Source organism: Homo sapiens, chromosome Y (assembly GCF_000001405.40).
Source record: "Homo sapiens chromosome Y, GRCh38.p14 Primary Assembly".
NCBI classification, from domain to species: domain Eukaryota; kingdom Metazoa; phylum Chordata; class Mammalia; order Primates; family Hominidae; genus Homo; species Homo sapiens.
Window position 1 is genome coordinate 21893420 of NC_000024.10, and position 24661 is coordinate 21918080.

The 24661-nt window shown below is 41.8% G+C and overlaps 2 protein-coding genes across 12 annotated transcripts in view; both read right to left on the reverse strand.

Moving 5' to 3' along the window:
* The window catches only part of RBMY1D (RNA binding motif protein Y-linked family 1 member D), a 32316-nt gene extending 24989 nt beyond the window's left edge, over positions 1 to 7327 (reverse strand). For 5 of the 7 annotated variants that reach the window (XM_011531487.4, XM_011531488.4, XM_011531489.2 and 2 more), the window contains exon 1: positions 960 to 1107. The gene's annotated coding sequence lies outside the window, so the exon portion shown is untranslated. Of the gene's footprint in view, positions 1 to 221; positions 287 to 959; positions 1108 to 7306 lie in introns of those variants that run through there. The other 2 variants (NM_001320950.1, XM_011531486.2) reach the window with 2 other exon arrangements.
* Positions 7328 to 8757: 1430 nt separating this feature from the next.
* On the reverse strand, positions 8758 to 24613 carry RBMY1E (RNA binding motif protein Y-linked family 1 member E). Of its 5 annotated transcripts, none has more exons than XM_011531494.4 (12): positions 24501 to 24613; positions 22527 to 22639; positions 21947 to 22050; positions 18750 to 18927; positions 16682 to 16834; positions 14557 to 14671; positions 13491 to 13601; positions 12939 to 13049; positions 12394 to 12504; positions 11362 to 11472; positions 11187 to 11275; positions 8758 to 9939 (listed from the first exon to the last, which is right to left on the reverse strand). In XM_011531494.4, the coding sequence occupies exons 2-12, from the start codon at positions 22633 to 22635 to the stop codon at positions 9932 to 9934; spliced, it is 1200 nt and encodes a 399-aa protein (XP_011529796.1). In that variant the 5' UTR covers positions 22636 to 22639; positions 24501 to 24613; the 3' UTR covers positions 8758 to 9931. The 5 variants fall into 5 exon arrangements, with proteins under 5 accessions (XP_011529796.1, NP_001006118.2, XP_011529795.1 ...); NM_001006118.3 differs by lacking the exon at positions 8758 to 9939 and adding an exon at positions 10203 to 10775; XM_011531493.2 differs by lacking the exons at positions 8758 to 9939; positions 11362 to 11472 and adding an exon at positions 10203 to 10775.
* Positions 24614 to 24661: the final 48 nt, after the last annotated feature.

The following is a 24661-nucleotide window of genomic DNA, read 5'->3' on the forward strand; positions in this document are numbered from 1 at the left end:
CCCGTGACAGCCTCACTGCCCCACCTGGCCTCTGTCACATTGCTCCTACCGGAAGACCCGCCCCACCACGTGCCCCTCGGAGACCTGCCGCCAGCCCCCACTCCCAAACCTGTCCACCTCGCCGCCTTCTTCCCCTGCGCAACCTTTCTCTGAGGAAAAACTGACTTCCACTAAACCAGTCCCTGATGCGAAAATAGCAATGAAAGAGTCCAGTACGTTACCCAGGCTGGTCTCAAACTCCTGACTTCAAGCCATCCTCCGACCTCCACTTCCCAAAATGCTAGGACTACAGGAGTAAGGCAGTGTGCCAGGTTAACAGAATAACTTAAGCGCATCTATTTTGTTCCAGTTTTCGGCTATCTAACTCCATTTGTCTCGATTACACCCACTTATTCGGTTTAAATTATTTACGGTGCCAAAGACACATGAAACGTTTCAAATACTGCCATACAACGAAGGAGACAATCACAGGCTTTACAGAGGCAAACTGAAACTCAGATTATTTGTGGCCCCATATTTCTACATACACTAAAGTAACACAATTTATGTCAAAATTTGATAATTCTTCCAAGCAAATCAGACACGCGACATGTGCTAACCAAAAGTGTGACTTTTTAATCGCAGTGGTTAAGTGTATTGCCTGTATTCTGAATTATCACCACATTCACAGAGAAAACCCGCTTTAATAAAAAGTGCACATGAAAACCAATGGCGGCTTAGCACCATCTCCCACAACTAGTCGGACACATTAGGCAGTTAAAGGTAGAATCCTCAGGAAAAATCAATGAGTTTAACGAAAGTGAGTCTCTTAATAGCACTGAGGAGTTCTTTCCCCACTGACTCCTCCCGTAATTCAACACCCACACATAGAAAACCCATCCCCTTTTATAGACAAAATCCCAAACCTTCGCTTTCTATTCTTGCCGAGAGACCCAGCTGTCCAGAGAAACAGAAAATACCTGCGCTTTTTAGTAGGACAAAGAGCCTGAGGTTCGCCTGGCCCTCAGGCCGTACGTAACCGGCTTCGGAACACCACAGGGCCAACTGCGGGAGGGACAGCTGGAGCTTCCCTGAGAGGGAAGGACGCCGGAAGCCGTGCCCGGAAATCCCGCCTACCTCCAGCGGCCAATCATTGCGAAGGCGGTGGGCGTCAGCCAGTTACTGCAAAGGCTGTGGGCGTGTCCTGAGGCCGCTCCGCCCCAGCAGGCCTGCGGCTCCATCATCTCGCGGTAACTCTTCCGAGACCACGCTTGTGCCACGTGGCGGGCCGCGGTGGATTAAGGCACACGCGAACTGTGAGCCCTTTGCAATTGTGGGCATGGAAGACCTACACCCTAACTGGCATCCTGAGTGTGGCAAGACATTAACTAACCCACAGGGAACACATGAAACATCTCACTTCATTAGGCAGGCTAGGCTGATGGTACTGAATATTGCGGATCCAGAGGGGAGAGAGAGGGACCAGCGCTGCTGCTGGGGCGAGGGCAGCAGCGGTGGCTTGGGGGGATTGGGGCAGGGCGGGTGCGTGGGACTAAAGTCGACTGGTACGTTGCTGAGGTGGAATTCATCTGCACCAGAAGCTGAAACCCTGCAAGGATTCTGTCAGGTCTAGGCAAATACATACTCCGAGTTCCATGGTTCCTCCCTGAGGATGCTGTACTCACAGGGGCATTCCAAAGGACTTCTCATCCTGTGCCCTGGGCACACGGGAGGCCTACCGCCATGGTCGCCAATGCAGTGATCCGTGTGCACTGCTTTGCTGGTGCAGAGGCTCTCACAAGTGCAGTGGTGGCCGTGTGCCTGCTAGCGGGGCTCTGGAAGCCAGGGCCTTGGCATCCGACTCCAGGGCTGCCGTGCGCAGCTAACCCTGCTGGGTAGCTGAGCCCCAGTGTGAGTGTGACAGGCTAAGGGCCCTGTGGGGCCCCCCAGGAACCCTGTTCCACATAGGTGTAGGATGTGGTTCTCAGCAGGGCAAGGCCCGCAGGCCTCTCCTGGAGTTGCCCCCAGAGTTGACGGGTGCCGGGGGGGTGGGGTGGGAGGCACAGGCTTTGCTCTGTTGGAGCCTCAAGGAGGGCACCATGTTAAGGCTGGAGGCTGTGCAGGAGAGGATGGTCTGTGCACAGAGCAGGAAGACAACCCTGGGGGGAGAGGCATGCTAGTGGGGGATGACATCATTGCAGAGATGGAGGTGGTGGCCAAGGAGGAAGGCCAATGTGGAGCCACAGCAGGAGGACCTGCAGGCACAGCCTGGCCCTGGCCCCAGTACGCCCCGGCCAGCAACAGACTCGCTGGACGTCCTTCACTTGGAGCTCGGCTACGTGAATGTCCCAGGCCACAGGGCATCCCCGGCTTCTGGGCCAGAGCCATATCCTTGCAGCTGCCAATTCGGGATGGTTGGCAGCAGGGGATGGGCGCGGAGCTCCCGGGAGCGGAGGTGGGGGGAAACAAGGTGGTAGGCACTGGCGGTCAGCCAGGATTCAGGGCATGGGGGACAACAAGGGGAACTGAGAACAGGCTCATGCGGATAGGAGGGCAGCTTAATTGCATGTGCCCTGAGGGCATGTGGTAGGGACAGGAAGCCAAGCACAGCACTCACCAGGGAGAATAGCAGCGCCAAGGACCCATCATAACAGCAGAAAGTTGAAGGATACGATTCACCGGGAAAGTCCCTGGAGGAAGGGGAGTCTGCATGCCCATGCCAGCCACGGAACTTCCCTGCTCCCCTTGCCTGTGTCCAGCAAGCTTACCCCAGAAACACAAGGTGCTCAAGACTCGGTGTCACTGTGCACGGGGCTGCTGTCCTATGCAAGGCAGGCACTATCTCCCCAGACACAATTTCTTCCCTCTGCCAGCGCTGCACCCAAAGATGTTTAGGCCCTGAGTATATATAAGCTCCCTTGAAACCACTCGAGCTCCACGGGGAGAGCCAGGCACAGCCCCGTAGCTACTTCTACCCACAGCGGTTGCCTGGGGTGGACACGTGCACCCCTCAGGGAGACCAGGAGAAGGAGAGACGGCACACCCAGACAGCAGCAGAGCCTGTCCAGCACCCAGCACAGGAGGGCCTCCTGCAGCTCAGAAACGCCGAGCAAGTAGTCGCCTCACACAACAACACCCCGCCCCCAACCCCCTGCCCACTTCTTCAGTGCCAGCCCCTGGTCAGAGCAGGTTGTCTGGGCCTGCCTCCACCCACCACCAAGACCACCACAGCTCTGATGGTGCCCTCCACGCCAGACAGAGACAGAGGACCTGGAAGGGAAGGTGCCCTGCCCCACACTCTCCGTGCTCTTGCAAAGTTGCAGGGTGTTTCCTTGCACGCCCACCCAATCATCCGGCGGCTCCTTGACCAGAGGCAGATTGTGCGGCACACCGAGATGTTGGCCGGGATCACAAATGATGATGAAGTCCTGCTAAGCTACGTACGTGATGGATTTGCAGGTCGGGCTAAGGAGCCTGAGTCTTCGGGAGGGGTCTGGTGTCTGGGTCAGGTTGAGGTACCCCTGGGACCCGGGGGTGTCTCAATGAGAGAGTTGGGAAGGAGAAACACATGCTTCACCCCAGCTAACAGGTCACCTCACCCCAGCTACATGAAATGCTCCTTTGAGTACGTCCTCTTTCTCCTTCTTGGCCAGGTAAGGGGAGGAAAGCAACTCTTCCGGGTACCGGCAGCAGGATGAAGTTTTCCTTTTATCACAGTCTCTACTTCCACAATGAAGTGATCATTCAGGAGTACTGCCTTGGCATCCTCGGTAAGGAGCGCCTCCCAGCATGGTAGGGGAGCTGGTGTGTGGGAGGGTAGGTCTGGCATGAACCTTCCTGACTCCTCTCTCTGCAGGATACGGGATGTCTCATTCCACTGCAGTCTAGTGGTTGTGGGATCATGAAGGTCAAGCCTCCAGCTGCAGGCCGTACAGCTCCTACCTGACCTTCTTCAGCTGGTTGGCTGACCATGACTGCCCAGGTTCTGGCAGGATTGCTGAGGTGAGCGCCAGGTAGGGCATCATGGGAAAGGATCTTGCTGGTCATTCCTTGGCCTCTGGGGAACTGGCTTTGAGCCATGACCTGAACTAACCTGTACCCACTTCTGCAGTCCCCTAGATCATCAGCCAGAGCCTGTAGCTCAATCCCCTGCAGTACTTCTCCAGGGAGGGAGGCCATTAGAGAGTGAACAGAGAGGAGGCCAGGTGAGCAGTCTGGGGCTGGGGACTGAGAGGCGGTTGATTCCTGGAGTTGTGCCCCACATGGAGAAACCAAGCCTCAGGGAGGTGACTGCAGTGAGCAATCCCACGCCATCCATGGGCTGGCGGAGAAATGGCCATCAAAGAACTGTAACACCCACATTTTAGGATTGGGGCACCTTCAGCCGCCTAAGAGGAATAAGTGTCTAAGGTCAGTGGGTGAGAAGCAAGGCTCAAGTGGTAGCTGTCTCATCATCCCTCACCGGCTGAGGCCTGAGGCCGGCTACCACTTGGGGCTCAGTTTGGGCTCAACCAGGGCCCTCTCACCTTCCACGCAGATATCCTCCCAAGGCCCCTCTCTATGTCTTCCCTGATGGGCTGTCCCACGCCCATCATTTTTTGTTACAATGATCCCAGGCTTCCCTGAGATGCTTTCTGCCCTCTGCCATCATCACCCACACTTCCCTGCCCCACCCTGCCCCACCAGACAAGAGAGGCCGCTACACAGGGAATCTGGAGAACCACACTGGGCTCACAGGGGAGGAAATGTGAAGAGATTGCAAAATGGATGAGCCCTTCATTGTGTGTCCAGGGAGGGAACCTGGCTGGGAATTAAGGCCCACCTGAGTAGTGGTGTGGACACCCAGTGTTACTTATCATGATGAAGACCTGCTTTGTCACATCCCCTAATATTAATATGGAAGTTATTTTCTTGGAACAGTGAAACAATGTGTACAAAGAAATAGTGTTTGTTCAGATTTGTGTAGAAATACTGCAGACGCGTCCCTTTTCCATTACAATTCTTATGTGAGACTTGAAGTGTTTATTGAGTTGTAAGATACATTTTGATGGTTCTGCCCCCAGCAAATTTTATGATCATGTTTGCACTGTAGAGACATGGAATCCAGAAAAGTTTTGAGTGACTTTCAGCTTCTTGTAGAGTACTTACTTGTAAATTTTGAATTTTTTTCCGTATAGTTCTCTTCAGTTTATTATTTTAATTTTATGTGCAAGGTGATTCATTTGTTTTATTTGCCTTTTGTGGAAACTTTGTTTTAATGTACTTTCTGTTTTCCGTTAGATATGCGAGTTGAACTGTGAGTACAAAATTTTTATTTTCATTTTTTAGTTGTTTTGGGGTGTCTGTGTGTGTTTTGAGGAGTACTGCTCTGTCACCCAGGCTGGAGTGAAGTGGCAGGATCTCGGCTCAACCTCAACCTCCGCCTCCCAGCTTCAAGCAATTCCCCTGCCTCGGCCTTCTGAGGAGTTGGGATTACTGGTGCATGCCACCATGTGCAGCTAATTTTTGTATTTTTAGTCAAGACTGGGTTTCACCATATTTGCCAGGCTGGTCTCCGACTCCTCACCTCAACTGATCCACCCACTTTTGCCTGCCAAACTGCCAGGCTTACAGCGTGAGCCACCATGCCCAGCCTCATTTATTTGTTTCTGTATTAGAACCCTTCTTGTATACTCTTCATGTACACACATTTTAGAGTGAATGGAAGAGTGTATTTTATTTATTTAGTCAATAGTAGAATTTTAAACGCAATGTTTTTATTCAGTAAATACAGTATTGTGAATAGGTTAAACCTAGTATAGTATTGTCATTCTCTCTTTCATAAATTTTTCAAGAACGCTGATACTGTTTCCGTCCCCCCGCCTCCGAGGAGAACACGCAGATAGGTCCAAAAAATTGTGGAAGTGAGTGGGTATGAAAATATAATTTGAAGGCCGGACGGGGTGTTTCACGCCTGCAATCCCCACACTTTCGGAGGCCAAGGCTGGTGGATTACCAGACGTCAGAAGTTCAAGACCAGCGGGGTCAACATGGTGAAACCCCACCTCTACTAAATATTCGAAAATTAGCTGGGCATGGTGGCAGGTTCCTGTAATCCTAGCTATTTGGGAGGCTGAGGCAGGAGAATCGGTTGAACCCAAGAGGCGGTGGTTGCAGTGAGCCAAGATCACGCCACTGCACTACAGCCTGGGTCACAAGACCAAAGCTTTGTCTCCACCACCCCACACCCCCCAAGAAAGCATTATTTTGGGAAAAACCCATCCAGCACTTGTAAAAATAAGGAATTATTAGGCATGGCCACTGTAGTGGTCTGAAACACACTTTGAAATTCTTCTCAAACCCATTTGAAAATATTCCTGATGGAACTGAACACAGTACTTGCTTCTAATGTATAGAAAACACTGCAAGCAGTTTCTGGATACTGGACCACCTCTGGCCTAGTTTAGAGACGGTGACACGGCTCTGCCTAGGTCTCCTGCTCTCATGGCGACAAACCCCTTAGGAGCCCCCGACCAGTACATCACGCAGTCTAACACCCTGATAACACTATGCAGAAGGGACATCCAATGGAGAGACTCAAAGAAACAGAACAAGATGTCTGAGCATCTCAGCAGTCCAGCCCCTGCTATTTGAGTCACGCTAGCCATGGCACCAGGGAGATGAGAAGACACCCGCCAATGTCCCCATCTTTGGCCATCACTAGATTGCATCCTCCTGAGCGCCCCTGAACCACATTCATTTGGCTGAGAGACTGAGGGCGATTGCAGAGACTGACAGTTAGTAAATTATAATTATGGTTTTAAGCCACTAAGTTTTAGATAATTCTGAAAAGCACTTTAGACTCCTAGAAAAACTGTGTCGTCTACTGACTTCATTGCAGAGAGCTGTAAAGGCCAACATCATGAATGCTAATACCCTGGAAAAGTCAAATCATCGAGACTCTTCTAAGCACAACAGATCTTTAATGTCCCTTCGCTATGGCTGGAGAATAATCTAACATGTATCTGATAGAGTTGTTGGAAAGCCTCTGTTCACATCTCTCAGCCTGGTATGGGTCAACTCTGGTCTGCTTTAATTCTAGGCAACTGCAGCAGCTCACCTTTCATTTAGGTCGTGGCCTACACTGATTTTTTTTGATCACTGACTGTGTCTTTGTCTGTGTGTGTATGTTTTGTGTGTTACCATATTTTATCTGAGGAGGCTAAATAGTAGTACTATAATTGTTTTGTAAACATAAAACATTCCAGGAAGTCAATATTGCTTATCAATCGAGCTTTAAAACAGATACGAAATTAGACATGACAAGATGCCACGTCTAGTATCATACCAAAGCTAGCCAAGCTTGGTGGCCCGTGGATGTTATCCCAGCTACTTGGAAGGCTGATGCAGGAGAATCCGTTGAACCCTGGTGATGGAGTTTGCAGTAAAGTGAGATCACACCACTGTGCTCCAGCCTGGGCACCAGAGCGAGACGCTGTCTCAGAAATAAAAAGAGAATAAAATAATAAAATAGGAGAGATCACGGGAGAGAGAAATGCATACAACTGGGTGGGCAGTGTGGCTCATGCCTGGATCCCAGCATTTTGAGAGGCTGATGTGGGTGGATCACTAAAGGAAAGGAACTCAAGACCAGCCTGAGCAAATATTGTGAAACCTGGTCTCTACTGAAAATACAAAATATTTGCCAGGATTGGTGTCATATGATTGCAGTCGCAGCTGCTTAGGAGGGTGTGACTGGACAATTGCTTGAACCCGTGATAAGGAGGGAGCAGTGAGCTGAGATCACGCCACTGCACTCCAGCCTAGGTGACAGGGCAGGATTCTTTCTTAAAAAAAAAAAAATCAGTGAGAGAAAAAGATACAGAGACAAAAAGAAAGAAAGACAGGAAGGAAGAAAGGAAGGGAGGGAAGGAGGAAGGGAATGAAAATTTGTACCTAACAGTTGTAAATACTTTTGGCATACATGTGATATTTTGATACAAGTAATGTGAACTGGTAAGCGAGGGATCAAAGAGGGGATGGGGGTGGGTTAAATTATACTTGCTTAGAAGGAATAATATCTAGTGTTCAGTGGCACAGGATGACTACACTTAATAATGATTTATTGTACATCTCAAAATAATTAATAGAGCGAAGGTGGAATGTCGCTGATACCAAGAAAAGATACGCCAGACTCAGTGAGGTGGAATGTCGCTCATAATGAGAAAAGATATGCCAGACTCAGTGGCTCACGGCTATAATCACAACACTTTGGGAAGCCAGGGAAGGAGGATTATTTCGGTCTGGGAGTTTGAGACCAGCCTGAACAATATATCCAAAGCATTGTCCCTACCACACACACACAAACACAAAAGCTGGGCACGGTGGTTGGTGTGTGTCTGTAATTCCAGCTACTTGGGAGGCTGAAATGGAAGGCTTGCACATTTCAAGCCCGTGTTCAAGGCTGCAGTGAGCTATGATGGTGCCACTGCAGTCTAGGCTGGACAACAGTGTGAGACCTTGTCTCTAAAAAAGAAAAAAGAATCGGTAAGTGCTTGAACTGAAGGATACCCTATTTATTATGTATATATTTGTTGATTGATATAATTATTTTTGTGTTGGAGTCGCACTCTGTCACCCAGGCTAGAGTGCATGGTGCAATATCGGCTCACCGCAGCATCAGGCTCCCAGGTTCAAACCACTGTCCTGCCTGAGCCTCCCAATTAACTGCAACGTACTACAGGCAGGCACCACCATGCCCGGCTAATTTTTGTATTTTTGGTAGAGATGGGGTTTCATGGTGTTGGCCAGCCTGGTCTTCAACTCCTGTCCTAAAGTGCTCTGCAAGCCTCGGCCTCCCCAAGTGTTAGAATTAGAGACCTGAGCCATCACACATGGACAGTAAGATACACAAGACTCGGGAGATTTATCTTTTCACTTCATCCTCACAATGCTACAGGTGAATGAAAACACTCCATAACATGAATAACTCACTTGAAAATCAAAGTTGGTAACTTCTCCCTTTAAAATTATTTGTACCCTTACCCTGTAAAAATTGATGATTCTGTCAAAATTTTTCAAGAAAATACTTCCTCCTTGCAGATTAGTCTGTCAATTGTAAGAATTATGGACTGCAAAACTTCTGGAACTTGATGTATTTCATTTCTTTAGTTTGTATAATCAGGAAAATTAATTCATTTAGTTATTTCGGTCTAAATATTTGTATCATTCAGTGATGTCTTAAAACTTTAAGCAATCCCGTCGGAAACTTTATGCTGTTGTTTATGTTTTATACACTTCACTTTCCCCTAAGTATGAGGTTTAAAGCGTTTCCATTCATATTATCAATTAAATACGATAGGCTGACAGTGGTGGCACACGCCTATAATCTTAGCACTTCGGGAGTCTGAGGAGGGTGGATCAGGATTTTAAGAACAGCCTGGCAAACAAGGTGAAACGCTGTCTGCACTAAAAATACAAAAATTGGCCCCGCTGTGCGGCACACATATCTAATACCAGTTACTCAGGATGCTGAGGCAGGAGAATAGCTTGGATCCAGAAGGCAGCGGTTGCCATAAGCCAAGACAGAGCCACTGCACCCCAGCTTCGGCGACAAAGCTATACACTTCACCTCAAAAAAAAACTGATACTATCCCAACCACTCTAGATTATTCCTATCTGTAAGAACATATTACTAAACCATTACTTACAACATCCACTGTCAAAATATTCAAGAAAAAATTAACGTGGGAACCTCACAAGACAAAACACTTACTTTCCACTATTTAAACTACGAACATTTAAATTCATTATGCTACGCACCTGAGAAACTTAGCTGGTTCACTTCTGATTTAGGTGAAAAAAAAAGTTTTCATTACCGTTATCCTCTTCAGTCACAGAATGCTTCACATAGAATGTTCCGGATGTCTTAAACTTTAGTATCAATACATCTAATGATTTCCTTTGACCTGTACTATTCCTCTAAAAAATAAACGTTTTATGGTGAGGCAGACAGTTTTGTAGTCTTTCTGAAGACTTCTCCAACATTTTAACCTTGTTAGTTTTTAAAGAGAAACAGCCTAATTACAAAACTTGAGCAGCTTGCAAGGGCGACATAACACATCCCTAATTTTGTACCTATGTTCAAAGAAACAAAGGAAAATGTACAACAGACTACACAATTTACTCTCCTATTGAATTTGCTTTAAGCATGCGCGGCTAACCAATAACACCAGGCATCTTGCAGTACATGTCAAATTTTATTGTGAAAATTTTAAGGTAGATATTACATCTAAACACTTTTCAAATAGCATCAACAAGTATGAAATTACTTTGAAAACAATTCCTTTTCCTTTGAATACCTCAAAAAATTCATGGAGGAAGTTAGTATCTACCTCTCTCCACAAAACCAACATGTTTCTTTCAGTAATATGCAGGTAACAATGCAGAAATAACATTTCAATTTTTGATTTGCAAACAAGGATTGGTATGCAATAACTATTACTTTCAATGCTTGCTTTAATATCTGCTCGAGTCTCCTTTTTCAGATCGACTCTCCCCACCATCTACTATAGATGCCACATAACTTGAGCTACCACATGCTTCACGAGGATCAGGGAGCACCCTACCCAGAGAAGGCGGATTCCTTTGGTCTTTTCTGCAAACATGCTCACGATCACAATAATGAAAATCACCACAGCTCGAGTAACTCTCCCAACTTCTGCCATATCTATCTCGTGTATTACTATATGCGTGGCAGGTGCTTCCACCATAGGACATCCGAGGCCCTCTTGCAGGTGGTGCACCATGAGCGGTCCCTGCAGGGTTGGTAAAATAATATGTGGGACTACATTTAAACATTTTTACTGCTATCATTAAAGCATGAATTAGTTAAAGTACTATTTGGAAATATCTGCTTTCCTCCGCCTTTGTTGACAGGATATTAATCAAGGCTTTAATAGTCAGAAGGTTTTATTTAAGAGAAGTGTAAGAGTAGTATTTTGCAGCTTAACAAACTTAATTCTAAAGTAAATGCTCAGTCACATTTTCTTAACGTTAACTGAAGTTCTCACCTTCATATCATTCCCTAGGCTTTATACTGTTAAGAATACTCAATATTTAAACATGTTGCATATGGCCTTTACAATTTTCCTTAGAATTTCATTAAAATAACAATCTGGTCTATTAAATAAAATTCTGTAATTTACAAATCCATCCTGGACCCTTACCGTATCTCTGAAGTGCATCTCTATAAGAACTTCCACTTAGATGTTCAGAATGATCTCTACCAAGGGCCTCACCGTAGCCATCATGATAACTAAATTGAAAAAAAAAAAGTCTTTTCAATTTCAGAATGAACAATTTAAGAAATCCATTTGATAAATCCAGATAACATGTTAGTACCTATATCCTCTAGAGGAATGTTCATCCCAACTAGAATGACCATAATCACGGTATGCATAGTCTCTATGTGGTGGAGCATAATCCCTGGTTTCTCGGGAACTTGGATGATTTCTGCGTGCACGAGTTGAAGCAAGGAATTTTAAATTGTCACCTTCTAGTATCCAAAACATAACTACATTACAACTTAAACACAATTAAATTGCCAAACATCTAAATAAAATGCCCACAGAGCCCAAATGCCCAAAATGCCCAAATGCCCAAAAAGCACATGAAACAGATACTCATAATCAGTGATTCAGGAAATGCATTTCAAATAAAAAAGGAGCTTCCACACTTCACACACACACACTGGAAGGGCAAAAAATTTTCAAAAGCAGGAAATAACAAGTGTTTGAGAGGATGTAGATAAATTGGAGCCCTGATACAATGTTAGTTGGAATGAACAATTTAAGAAATCTATTTGATAAATCCAGAAAAAGTTACAGTATCTATATCCTCTAGAGGAATGTTCATCCTGCCTAGAATGACCATAGTCTCAGTATGCCTAGCCTCTAGATGGTGGAGCATAATCCCTAGTTTCTCGGGAACTTGGATGATTTGTGTGTGCATAAGTTTAAGCAACAAGTTTTAAATTTTCATCTTCTAGTATCGAATACATGACTAACTTACAACTTTAAATTAAAAGGCCAAACATCTAAATAGGTATTTCTCCAAATAAAATAGGCAAATGCCCAAAAAGGACAAGTGACAGATACTCATATTCAGTGATTCAGAAAATGCATTTCTTTTTGTTTTATTATACTTTAAGTTCTAGCATACATGTGCATGATGAGTTAATGGGTGCAGAAAATGCATTTCAAATCCAAAATGAGATATCATATTTCACACACACAGATGAATGGCAATAGATTTTCAAAAGCAGGAAATAACAAGTGTTTGAGAGGATGTAGATAAATTGGAGCCCTGATACAATGTTAGTTGGAATGAACAATTTAAGAAATCTATTTGACAAATCCAGAAAAATTACAGTACCTATATCCTCTAGAATAACTTTCATGTCGACGAGAATGACCATAATCACGGTATCCATGGCCTCTAGATGGTGGAGCATACTCCCTAGTTTCTCGGGAACTTCGACGATTTCTGTATGCATAAGTTTAAGCAACAAATTTTAAATTTTCAACTTGTAGTATCCGATATATGACTAACTTACAACTTAAACAAAATTAAAAGGCCAAACATCTAAATAGATATTTCTCCAAATAAAATGGGCAAACGCCCAAAAAGCACATGGGACAGATACTCATATTCAGTGATTCAGAAAATGCATTTCTTTTTTTTATTATACTTTAAGTTCTAGGGTCCATGTGCATGACGAGTTAATGGGTGCAGAAAATGCATTTCAAATCCAAAATGAGATATCATATTTCACACACAGATGAATGGCAATAAATTTTCAAAAGCAGGAAATAACAAGTGTTGGAGAGGATGCAGATAAATTGGAGCCCTGATACAATGTTAGTTGGAATGAACAATTTAAGAAATCTATTTGACAAATCCAGAAAAAGTTACAGTACCTGTATCCTCTAGAATAACTTTCATCCCGACGAGAATGACCATAATCACGGTATGCATGGCCTCTAGATGGTGGAGCATAATCCCTAGTTTCTCGGGAACTTCGATGATTTCTGTATGCATAAGTTTAAGCAACAAATTTTAAATTTTCAACTTCTAGTATCCGATACATGACTAACTTACAACTTAAACAAAATTAAAAGGCCAAACATCTCAATGGATATTTCTCCAAATAAAATGGGCAAATGCCCAAGATGCACATGGGACACATACTCATATTCAGTGATTCAGAAGACGCATTTCTTTTTTTTTTAATTATACTTTAAGTTCTAGGGTCCATGTGCATGATGAGTTAATGGGTGCAGAAAATGCATTTCAAATCCAAAATGAGATATCATATTTCATACGCACACACTGGAAGGGCAATAAATTTTCAAAAGCAGGAAATAACAAGTGTTTGAGAGGATGTAGATAAATTGGAGCCCTGATAGAACGTTAGTTGGAATGAGCAATTTAAGAAATCTATTTGACAAATTCAGAAAAAGTTACAGTACCTATATCCTCTAGAGGAATGTTCATCCCGATTAGAATGACCATTATCACGGTATGCATAGCCTCTAGATGGTGGAGCATAATCCCTCGTTTCTTGGCAACTTGGATGATTTCTGTGTGCATAAGTTTAAGCAACAAATTTTAAATTTTCAACTTCTAGTATCCAATACATGACTAACTTACAACTTAAACAAAATTAAAAGGCCAAACATCTAAACAGATATTTCTCCAAATAAAATCGGCAAATGCCCAAAAAGCACACGGGACTGATACTCATATTCAGCGATTCAGAAAATGCATTTCTTTTTGTTTCATTATACTTTAAGTTCTAGGATACATGTGCATGATGAGTTAATGGGTGCAGAAAATGCATTTCAAATCGAAAATGGGATATCATATTTCAAACACACATTTGAATGGCAATAAATTTCAAACAGCAGGAAATAACAAGTGTTTGAGAGGATGTAGATAAATTGGATTGCTGATACAATGCTAGGTTGGAACGGAAAATGATGCAGCTACTATGGAGAAATGTGGTGGTTCCTCAAGAAAACAAACATCATTATCATAGGACCATGCAATTCCACTCATATACACCCAGAACCGAGTAAGCACACTCAAACAAATATTGGTGCGTAGAAATACTCGAGTGGAAACAACGCAGATAAAATAATGGGTTAATAGCTTGTGGAAGGAGTGAAGTGCTATGATGTAAATGAACCTTCAGGACATCATGCAAAAGGAGAGGAGACAAATACAAAAAGTCATGTAGTGTTTGAGCACATTAACATTAAATACCCACAACAGGTAAGTTCAGAGGCAGAACACTGACTGGTGTTATCTAGCAGCTGAGGAAAAGGAGAAAATGGGAGGGACTGCTTAACTGGTAGTAGGAGTTTCAATTTGGAGTGATGAAAATGTTCTGGAACTCGATGGAGGTAGTTGTTGCATGGCACAGAATGTATCAAACACCACCTAACTGTTCACCTTATAATATTTAATTTTGTTATGTGAATTTCATCACCACAGGAAAAAAAAATCAACTGTGCTTTTTAATTTTTCCTTTACCCATCGTTAGTTGCATAACCATCATGTCTTGTTGACATGCGATCATTTCTCCAGGAAGATATTGTCGCTCTGCGTGGAGGAACTCCATAATTCTCTCTTCTTTGTGACATGGGACCTTTAACATTCAAATGATGGAACATTACGTAAAGAACACCAAATCTGAAACGCTATTTTCTCTTCTCTCAAACAACTTTTTAAAATTATTTCTTCTATGACTCCATTCTTTGTTTCCTAAATTACTAGACAGACATGACACTGTGAATATTTCTCATGGCTTTGGATAATCCCATGGCTCCCACAAGGCCAGTTCTTCTAATGAAGCTGAAGGCAAACATTAATGCTTAGGTAAAAGTTCATTTGTAATGGTTAATAACTACTTAGTTATTATTTTCCTTTCCATATAAATTACTGATGACTGTGAGTGACACAGGGAAAACACGTAAAACCATCAAACTCTTCACTGATTTTAAAGTTTACATACATTGTTCTTTCTCAGCCAAAGAAGGTAGATTTTCCAATATCATTCAGTCCATCTCACAGACACATAAATACAGCTACCTTTAAATGACTATATGCTAAATGTTTACATAAAAGTTCTTTAACTGGTTGGCTCTATCTTAAATGTTGACAAATTAAAATGTATTAGTGAAGATTTTCTAATGATGGTCAAGATTTGCTTTTACTGCAAAGAAAGCAATGCTATGCAAGGGGTCATTACAACACTGTTGCTGTTTCAAAATAGAAAGTTTCTCCTCTAATATATTCTTCACTTGCTATTCCTTAGCGGTCAGTGTTTCACATATGATACCTTCACTGGCTAATTTTCCAATGGAAATGTGTTGGCTTGGGTATCCTGAAGCCAATAAATACCTCCCTTCACCGATACTCTACGTATGAAATGTAAAATTGAAAATGGCAGTTTTTAACTTCCTCCGTATGCGGATGGAGGACTAAGAAAGAATTTTAATTTGCTCTGCTTAAACTTCCTTGCTAAGAACTTTTATTTATTGTCTTATTTTCTTCTGTTCAGTCTGCAGTCTTACAATTCTTCTCAAAAGTATTACTTGCATTCAACCCTACCGCTCACCTCATGTTGCTGAGTTCTAAATTCTCTCCTCAAATAATTTCAAATCTTACACTAAGGATCTTGTGTTAATGTTTAAACATCCCGGTACAATCTCAATTACTGATTTACATACACCTATATTTCACAACTCTGCATTTCTGTGATATCCACTTAATTTAAGAATTTTGGACTCCTACGTGTCTACCTCTCGAGCCTTAAATTTATTTTTAAATCATATTTAAGCCCAATGACTCCTTGTCTGCTAAATGCTCTTGTAGTTCTTTTGAATCTTCATGCAAGCAGTGAGTATGCCTTGCACATACGCATTACTGAGGTCTCAGAAGCTGGATGGCCAGGCTTAGCGGCTCACACTGTGAGTGAGTGTGGAAGGCTGAGGCAGCTGGACCGCTTGAGCCCCAGGCTTTAACATCAGTTTTGACAATGTAGTCAGATCCTCTCTCTACAAAAACATAGGGAAAAAAATGTAGCTAGGTGTGCTGCTGCATGCCTGTAGTTGCACAAACTCGGGAGGCTGAAACAGCAGAATTGCTTGAGCCCAGGAATTTGAGGCTATAGTAAGCCGTCATCTCACAAATTTGAGGCTACAGTAAGCCGTCGTCTCACATAGTGCACTCTCACCTAGTAAGAGCAAGACTCCAACCCAGCAAAGTCACCGAACAAGCAATTTTTAGAATGGGACACCAGGGGACTTAGGAAATGGAAGAGTTAATTAGATCAAGAAGCCTACCATCAAAGAATACTGCTAGGAACTTTTAGAAAAATTAAGGGGAATTTTCTAGCCAACACAGGATTAAAAGGAATGTTGGCCTCACTCTAATCACTTCTTTGATCTGCAATGAGAAGCTCAAGTATTTCTTCAACATAAATCTGAAATGTACCTAGTGAGATAGAAACTATAATAAAAGCTATCAATCAGTAATTATGCTCACGTATGTGTCACTTCTCTTTTGTTCAATGAACTTAAAGCTAAGCATTCAGCTAAAACGGCTCATTTTTAGTCATACAAAAACTACGGTCTTTCTGTCAGGCAGCATTTACCTTGGCTTCCCATCCAACTATTGCTTCTTGCCACAGCAGAAGGAGCAGATTTTTTCGGAGGAGGACCTCCACTTCTTGAAGATGGACCTCTTTTAACTGGAATGAGTCCCCTAGAATAACTCATCTTGAGATCAGGAGTGTATCCACCATCATCTGTATTTCAAACAAAATCTTTTTAGTTAACTGACGTCACTGTTTCTTAAATGGCTAAGTTTTAGTTGTTTACAAATATTTTCTACATTTTATAACAAATTCACATTTTGTCTAAACTAATAAAATTAGCATTCCTACAAGGTATTAGTACACTTCAAGCATTAAAAGTTCATTTAGAAAATCTAGAAAGAAACTCAAGTATCATAATATATCGGTATGAAGGAGAGATGTGGGAAAATGGGGAGTGAACGGGGGCAGAAATCTATCACTAAAATATCCAAATATAATATACATAAAAATATTAAAAGAAAAATGATAAATGACTGTTTATATCATTCTGTAATGAGGAAAAATTTTCAAAGCACATCATAAAGATAAACTAATTTCCATTCAAAGAAACTCAAATATTTCCAATACCAAGAAATCACATATCAGGAAAATACATTGTCTCTAAAATTTGTTAACACAATATAGAATTCTTAAAATTCCCTTATGAGACACTAATTTTCAGATGAGACTATGCTGAATTTTAACAGTCTTTAAGAATTGCATATTCGGTAATATAAACATATTTTTATACATCTACAAAAACGTAGATATATGCCAATTGCCAGGTGGTGTTACAGGTTAGAATTTATGTACACATTCTCGTCCGTGGCAGAGTATAATTGAAGCTCACCCTCAAGATCAGTGGAGGCAAAACAGCCGTGAAGCTACGCATCTTAAAATGGAGCAAACACTGCAATTTCAACTTGAAAACAATCTCCAATTAATTACATGTCTGGTTATTAAAACTCCAAGCTATTTGTTAGAGTTCTGAAGGTTGGTTAATAGATAATACAAGTTAACCAACAGGTTTATTTATTTATTTATTCAGATGCACTCTTGCCCTATCACGCAGGCTGGAGTGCCATGGCATAACCTTGGCTCACTGCAGCTTTTGCCTCCCAGGTTCCTGTGATTCTCCTGCCTCAGCCTCCTGAGTAGCTGGGATTACAGGTGCACGCCACCAGGCCCAGGCAAATTTTTTTGTATCTTTAGGAGAGACAGGGTTTCACCATGTTGGCCAGGCTGGTCTGGAACTCCTGACCTCGTGGTCCACCTCCCCTGTACTCCCCAGGTGCTGAGGTGACAGGCGTGAGCCACCTCGCACAGCCCATCCAATAGTTTTTTCTTTTTCCTTTTTTTTAAATATATGGTTTGTTTTTCTTTTATATGTAAAGATGGACCCCTCATTTCTATTAAGTAAATCACTCATAAATATCATTTTCAGTGACTCAGCCTCCAGCAAAGAAAGATTCATACATATCTGTGAAGCAGTGGTTTTTAGATCTTTCCAGAGTCACAGACTCTTTTCAGAAATTAAAGTTCTACATTTCTTAAATTGAAAATGCTTTACGGCAGGCCAATGTACAAACTCTCTGTATCAAAATTACAAAGCAATACATTTGCATAGATGTTTCCACATGTAGACACAAGAAAACAAATACTGCAAAATCAATCTTCAGTATTCAGTTACTTCTTCCTGTTGGAAAATTTTAAATATTACATCGTACTTTGATAATACAACTGACACGAAGTTCTGGGCCCTAAAGTAGAAAACTCTAAAGTATAATGAATATAAATGAGTTCTGCAGAAAACCGGTTGAGTACAGGCAATCAGCATTCACAAACACAACTCAGTTTCAAATGTGTGTTACTTCAGTGCAAACTTATTATAATTGTTAAACAAATTTTAGATATTAGTTCAATCATTCTTATAATACACCTTTATAGTACTTAGAAATAAGTTTGCTTATTATCAATAAGCTAATTTTCTCTTCATACAGGAAAGAAAAAAATTAAGAAATTTCAATATCGTCAAACTTATTTTCTTTCAGTCCTATGGTTCCATCTTTATATTTTAAAACATTACCCAGGTGCCCTTCTTGTGAGGGAAGCCACCCTCTTGTTCCTCCACGGCTTCCTCTTGCAGATCTCAGACTTCCTGAAGGGCTTCTGTTTCTCGAAGAAGCTGGTGGTCTCCGCCTACCACCACTTTGAAAAGATGGTTTCTTGGCTTGTTCTACTTTTATTGCTTTTCCATGCAAAGACTAGAAGTATTAAGGGTACTATCAATAACACCGGCACATTTAACGTAAGCACATTTTACAAACATTTTTACATCAACTGTAGTTCAATTTGAGGTATTTTTCTCCCAAAAGGAAACTTTTTTTTCTTCTAAAATGAACACATCTTTCGCAATGCCAAATTTGAGATAGTTACTGAGCACATGCCTTCCATTAAGGGATCAAACACAAATTCTATTATTCAAATTCCTTGAAAACTTTTCCATCATTAAAAAAAAAAAAAACTCAAACATAAAAAAAAAGTTTGACCCATCACACATTCTGTGGAAGAATGTGGCACATCTGTTTTTTACAATATATAATCCACTTCATCTTTGTAGTCACATCACTGATTTGAAAGTTGCAGTGTCCCAATGAAACTCGTGTCATTTAAAAAAAAAATGAGCTTACTTTTTCAGAGTGATTAGGCACATTACTCATTATGAGTTGTTTCTTGTTGGATTTGCTAACACTTCCATAAAATGTCCCCATATGATTTACAATTCTATATTGACTCTAAAAATGTTTCTGTAAATGTGATCCTTGTTTGATCTCATTAAGTTTTCTTGCCTTACTCATTTCTTACATTGCCTTAGACGTGCCCCTAAAAAACGAATCTTAATATAGTACTTCAGGTAATTTCTCAGAAATGCTTAACTATCCTAATTAATTTCATAATAACATTTTTCACTGTAATCTTTTCTACAGGCCACAGCAATTTTTGAAAACAGTTCAGCTAATAATGCGATTTAAAAATTACATGGCTTTTGTTATTTGGAGGAAGGACTTAAATCCCTGAACAAGACCGCTTGCAGCCACATCGCCCGTTGTTCCTACCTTGAAACTTCTTTTGTTATTTCTGGGCTCAAAATATTTTCCCCAGATTTGCCCACGGCTGCTTCCTTCCCAGTGTTCTGAAGTCAGCCAAAATTCCTTAACTGTTAATTCCCCCTGAAAACTCAAAGAACCTCCTTTATTGGCCATCTTAACATTAATGTGCATACAACATTCATAGTTATTTTAACACAATAAAATACGTGAGATGAAGTAATTTAGAAATAACGTTGGCTGGGCGCGGTGGCTCACACCGGTAATCCCAATACTTTGGGAGGCCAAGGCGGGTGGATCATGAGGTGAAGAGATAGAGCTCACCCTGGCTAACAGGGTGAAACCCCATCCCTACTCAAAGTACAAAATTAGCTGGGCGTGGTGGCGCGCCTCTGTAGCCCCTGGTACTGGGAGGCTGAGGCAGGAGAATCGCTTGAACCCGGGAGGCGGAGGTTGCAGTGAGCCAAGATGGCCCCACTGCAATCCAGCCTAGGGCACACAGCGAGTCTCCATCTTAAAAAACAAACAAACGAACAAAAACTTTACACAAATTACCTGCCCTTTTGCTTGAAAACTAGAGGGAAAAAAGAAATTATCATAGCTTCCTATACAGAAGTCAAAATTATCTCCATACCTACCACAAAGCCATGAACCAAAAGCAACTCTCGGTTTCTACCACAGCTTGAAATACTAATTTATAAGGGTGAATAAAAATGTACTTTCTGCTATGTGACAGGAAGTGTGCTAGATGTAACAGAAAGAAAAGCAACTAGCAAGACTTAAATATGCACTATATACAATTTCACGATCAATAGATTAATACATAGTACAGCGAGTAGAAAATACCTACAATACGCAATGAGGAAGAAAATTATGAAATCTAAGTGGTTTTTGAAGCATAAATTTTATTTATGAGCCATACACAGGGAAGGATAATTCTCAAGAAGTCTAAAAAAGCACTTTGGGAATAGCGTGAAGACTAACAGGACCTAAAAACAGATTGGGATAACGTTATTTATTTATTTTATTTATTTTTTGTTTTTTTGAGACGGATTCTTGCTCTGTTGCCAGGCTGGAGTGCATCGGCGTGATCTCGGCTCACTGCAACCTCTGCCTCCTTGGGTTTAACCGATTCCCCTGCCTCAGCCTACTGACTAGCTGGAACTACAGGCACACACAACCAGATGCAGCTAATTTTTTTTTTTGTATTTTAGTAGCGACAGGGTTTCACCATGTTGGCCATTATGGTTTCTTTCTCCTGACCTTGTGATCTGCCCGCCTTGGCCACCCAAAGCGCTGGGATTACACGCATGAGCCACCATGCCCGGCATGATTGGGATAATGTTATAAAGCAAAAAACACTAAAGAGCACAGAATGGAATGCTCTTGACTACAATGTAAAGGAATTCAATAATTAATATCATTACATAGAAGTTTAAAGCTTAAGTAAACACACAATCTCTAGATTTAAGACTCAACAGGACAAGAGACCATTGGTTCAATCAAAACAAGTCCTCAAACACACTGGGGAAATGAGTAATTAGCTATTCATGTTACATAAATCACTCTGGTGACAGGAAAGAAATGTCCTTAGGAGAAAAAGCAAGCATGGAGCCAAGAATGCCAGTTACTTCTTCTGTTATCTGACTTCAATGTTCTCATATTATTTTCTATTTTCAACTACTTAACCTTTCCGTAAATGTAAAGGTCTTATTTAAATACACTTTCGCAAGAATATATTTTCATAAAATATATTCTTCAAGAAGGAAAGAGTCTTTCCTTCTTGTGCGTCTGTCTAGATGTCTATCCAGTTTGTCTACGCTCTAAAAGTATTTCCATGAATTGGATGTACTTCAATTAATAGCATTTAATAAATATTGACTTATTACTTTCATTTACATGAGGGTTCCTTATAAGTTTTAAAGCTCTTCAAAACCTTTTAAAATCTATTTGCACTCATATCGAAATACAAACATAGAAAAAGGTTACCAAATATTAATTTATGTAATGTTAATTCCAATACCCTTCCAACTACACTTGCACGTATATGGCACAAAAAAGAGGATGGCTTCATGTGTCATTCTACTATCCTCAAAAGTTTAGCAATATTAAAAAGACCTAGAAATATTGTTAATTGAAGAACAGAGTTAGAATATTAGTAATAAGGGACTCTTACCTTTCCATTCATATCTTTGGCAGCATTCTTAGCATCTGCAGGGTTCTCAAAAGTAATAAATGCAAAGCCTCTGGATTTGCTGGTTCGATCCTTTATCAAAAGAACTAAAATATATGAAAACATTTTACATTCATATAATGGACTCATCAAGGTACTCACCATCTAAAGGTTACATCAAACTAAAAAATAATTGCATTTCACATCACTATTATGGTTCTCGATACTCAGTCACCCCTACAGTCAGTCTAGTTTATTCCAGTTTGTTTCGGAACTCCACAGCACATTTACTTTCCCTCATTTTCCTTTCTAAGTAGTAGGTTATCCTTTCCATAGAACCTTAACCTACTACTATGAGAATTTTCCAAATATCAAACAGATACTACAAAATAAGAGTTTAAAATGCATAAGGCATTTTAATGTAGGTATACAATGAACTTTGAAAAAATATATTTTTTCAAAACATATATATATAACATACATATTTTAAACATACCTATTGAAATATACATGTGAAAATACACACACACACACACACACACACACACACACACACACACACACACACGGTTTTAAGAGTTACCTTCTGATATGGGACCATGTTTCCCAAATACTGCTTTAAGCATCTTCTCATTGGTTTCTCTATTGAGGCCACCAATGAAAAGCTTGCCAGGATGATCTGCTTCTACCATTGTGCTGTAAATGGTAAAAAATTATCTATATTTAGATATAAATAAGCTAAAAAGATAAAATTTTATTACATACTGTGCTGAAAACCCAAGTAAAATTCCCTTCCTGAGGCTGACATCTTTTTAGTATTTCTTACTTTATATATGTAAAATTTGTAACACTCAGAGCAAAGGGGCACTAACTTCATGGACAAATGCTGCATTTTAGTATGTACCTGACAAAAATCTCATTTCTAAAAATTAGATAAGAAAAGCTATTGTAATTTTCCTCAGTTGCAATATGAAGAATGTCCCCATTTAAATAATTTTATTTGAAAAGAATCTATTTATGAGGTACAGTGTGATGTTTTGCATATTTTCTTTCTTGAGATGTCTGTCTCCTGTCGCCAAAGTGAACTGCTCACTGCAGGCTCTTCCACCCAGCCTCAACTGATCTTCCTACATCTCAGCTTCCCAAGTAGCTAGTACTACAGGCGCTTTCTACCACAGCTGGGCAATTTTTTGTATTTTTAAAAATAGACAAGGGTTTCCCCATAGTGCCCAAGCTAGTCTCCAAATCTTCGGCTCAAGTGTTCTGCCGGCTTGGGACTACCAAAGTGATGGGATTTCAAGGGTGACTCACCACACTCAGCATGATATTTGGATAAGAGATTAAATCAAGCTACTTAAAATGTTCTAGGAGGAGAATATTTTAAATATTTTACCATCTTTTAGTGATTTGAAATATACAATAGGTCAAAGATCCCCAAACCCTAGCCTTCAACCCGTACCTATCTGTGGCCTGAATGTGATGCCGGAGGATGACCTGCAATACCTGTCTGTGGAGAATGTAACGCCTGAGGATGACCTGAGGTGGTACAGTTTTATCCGGAAACCATCCTCCCTACTCCCTCGCTGGCCCTCCCTGTCCCCGTGACAGCCTCACTGCCCCACCTGGCCTCTGTCACATTGCTCCTACCGGAAGACCCGCCCCACCACGTGCCCCTCGGAGACCTGCCGCCAGCCCCCACTCCCAAACCTGTCCACCTCGCCGCCTTCTTCCCCTGCGCAACCTTTCTCTGAGGAAAAACTGACTTCCACTAAACCAGTCCCTGATGCGAAAATAGCAATGAAAGAGTCCAGTACGTTACCCAGGCTGGTCTCAAACTCCTGACTTCAAGCCATCCTCCGACCTCCACTTCCCAAAATGCTAGGACTACAGGAGTAAGGCAGTGTGCCAGGTTAACAGAATAACTTAAGCGCATCTATTTTGTTCCAGTTTTCGGCTATCTAACTCCATTTGTCTCGATTACACCCACTTATTCGGTTTAAATTATTTACGGTGCCAAAGACACATGAAACGTTTCAAATACTGCCATACAACGAAGGAGACAATCACAGGCTTTACAGAGGCAAACTGAAACTCAGATTATTTGTGGCCCCATATTTCTACATACACTAAAGTAACACAATTTATGTCAAAATTTGATAATTCTTCCAAGCAAATCAGACACGCGACATGTGCTAACCAAAAGTGTGACTTTTTAATCGCAGTGGTTAAGTGTATTGCCTGTATTCTGAATTATCACCACATTCACAGAGAAAACCCGCTTTAATAAAAAGTGCACATGAAAACCAATGGCGGCTTAGCACCATCTCCCACAACTAGTCGGACACATTAGGCAGTTAAAGGTAGAATCCTCAGGAAAAATCAATGAGTTTAACGAAAGTGAGTCTCTTAATAGCACTGAGGAGTTCTTTCCCCACTGACTCCTCCCGTAATTCAACACCCACACATAGAAAACCCATCCCCTTTTATAGACAAAATCCCAAACCTTCGCTTTCTATTCTTGCCGAGAGACCCAGCTGTCCAGAGAAACAGAAAATACCTGCGCTTTTTAGTAGGACAAAGAGCCTGAGGTTCGCCTGGCCCTCAGGCCGTACGTAACCGGCTTCGGAACACCACAGGGCCAACTGCGGGAGGGACAGCTGGAGCTTCCCTGAGAGGGAAGGACGCCGGAAGCCGTGCCCGGAAATCCCGCCTACCTCC

Excerpts from the sequence above, each read along its gene's own strand:
- RBMY1E (NM_001006118.3), bottom strand. The coding sequence starts at position 22,635 with ATGGTAGAAGCAGATCATCCTGGCAAGCTTTTCATTGGTGGCCTCAAT. Across the intron at positions 12,505-12,938 it reads AGTTATTCTAGAGGATACAG|AAATCGTCGAAGTTCCCGAG; the intron begins GTACTGTAACTT and ends TTATGCATACAG. Across the intron at positions 10,776-11,186 it reads AGATGCACTTCAGAGATACG|GGACCGCTCATGGTGCACCA; the intron begins GTAAGGGTCCAG and ends CCAACCCTGCAG.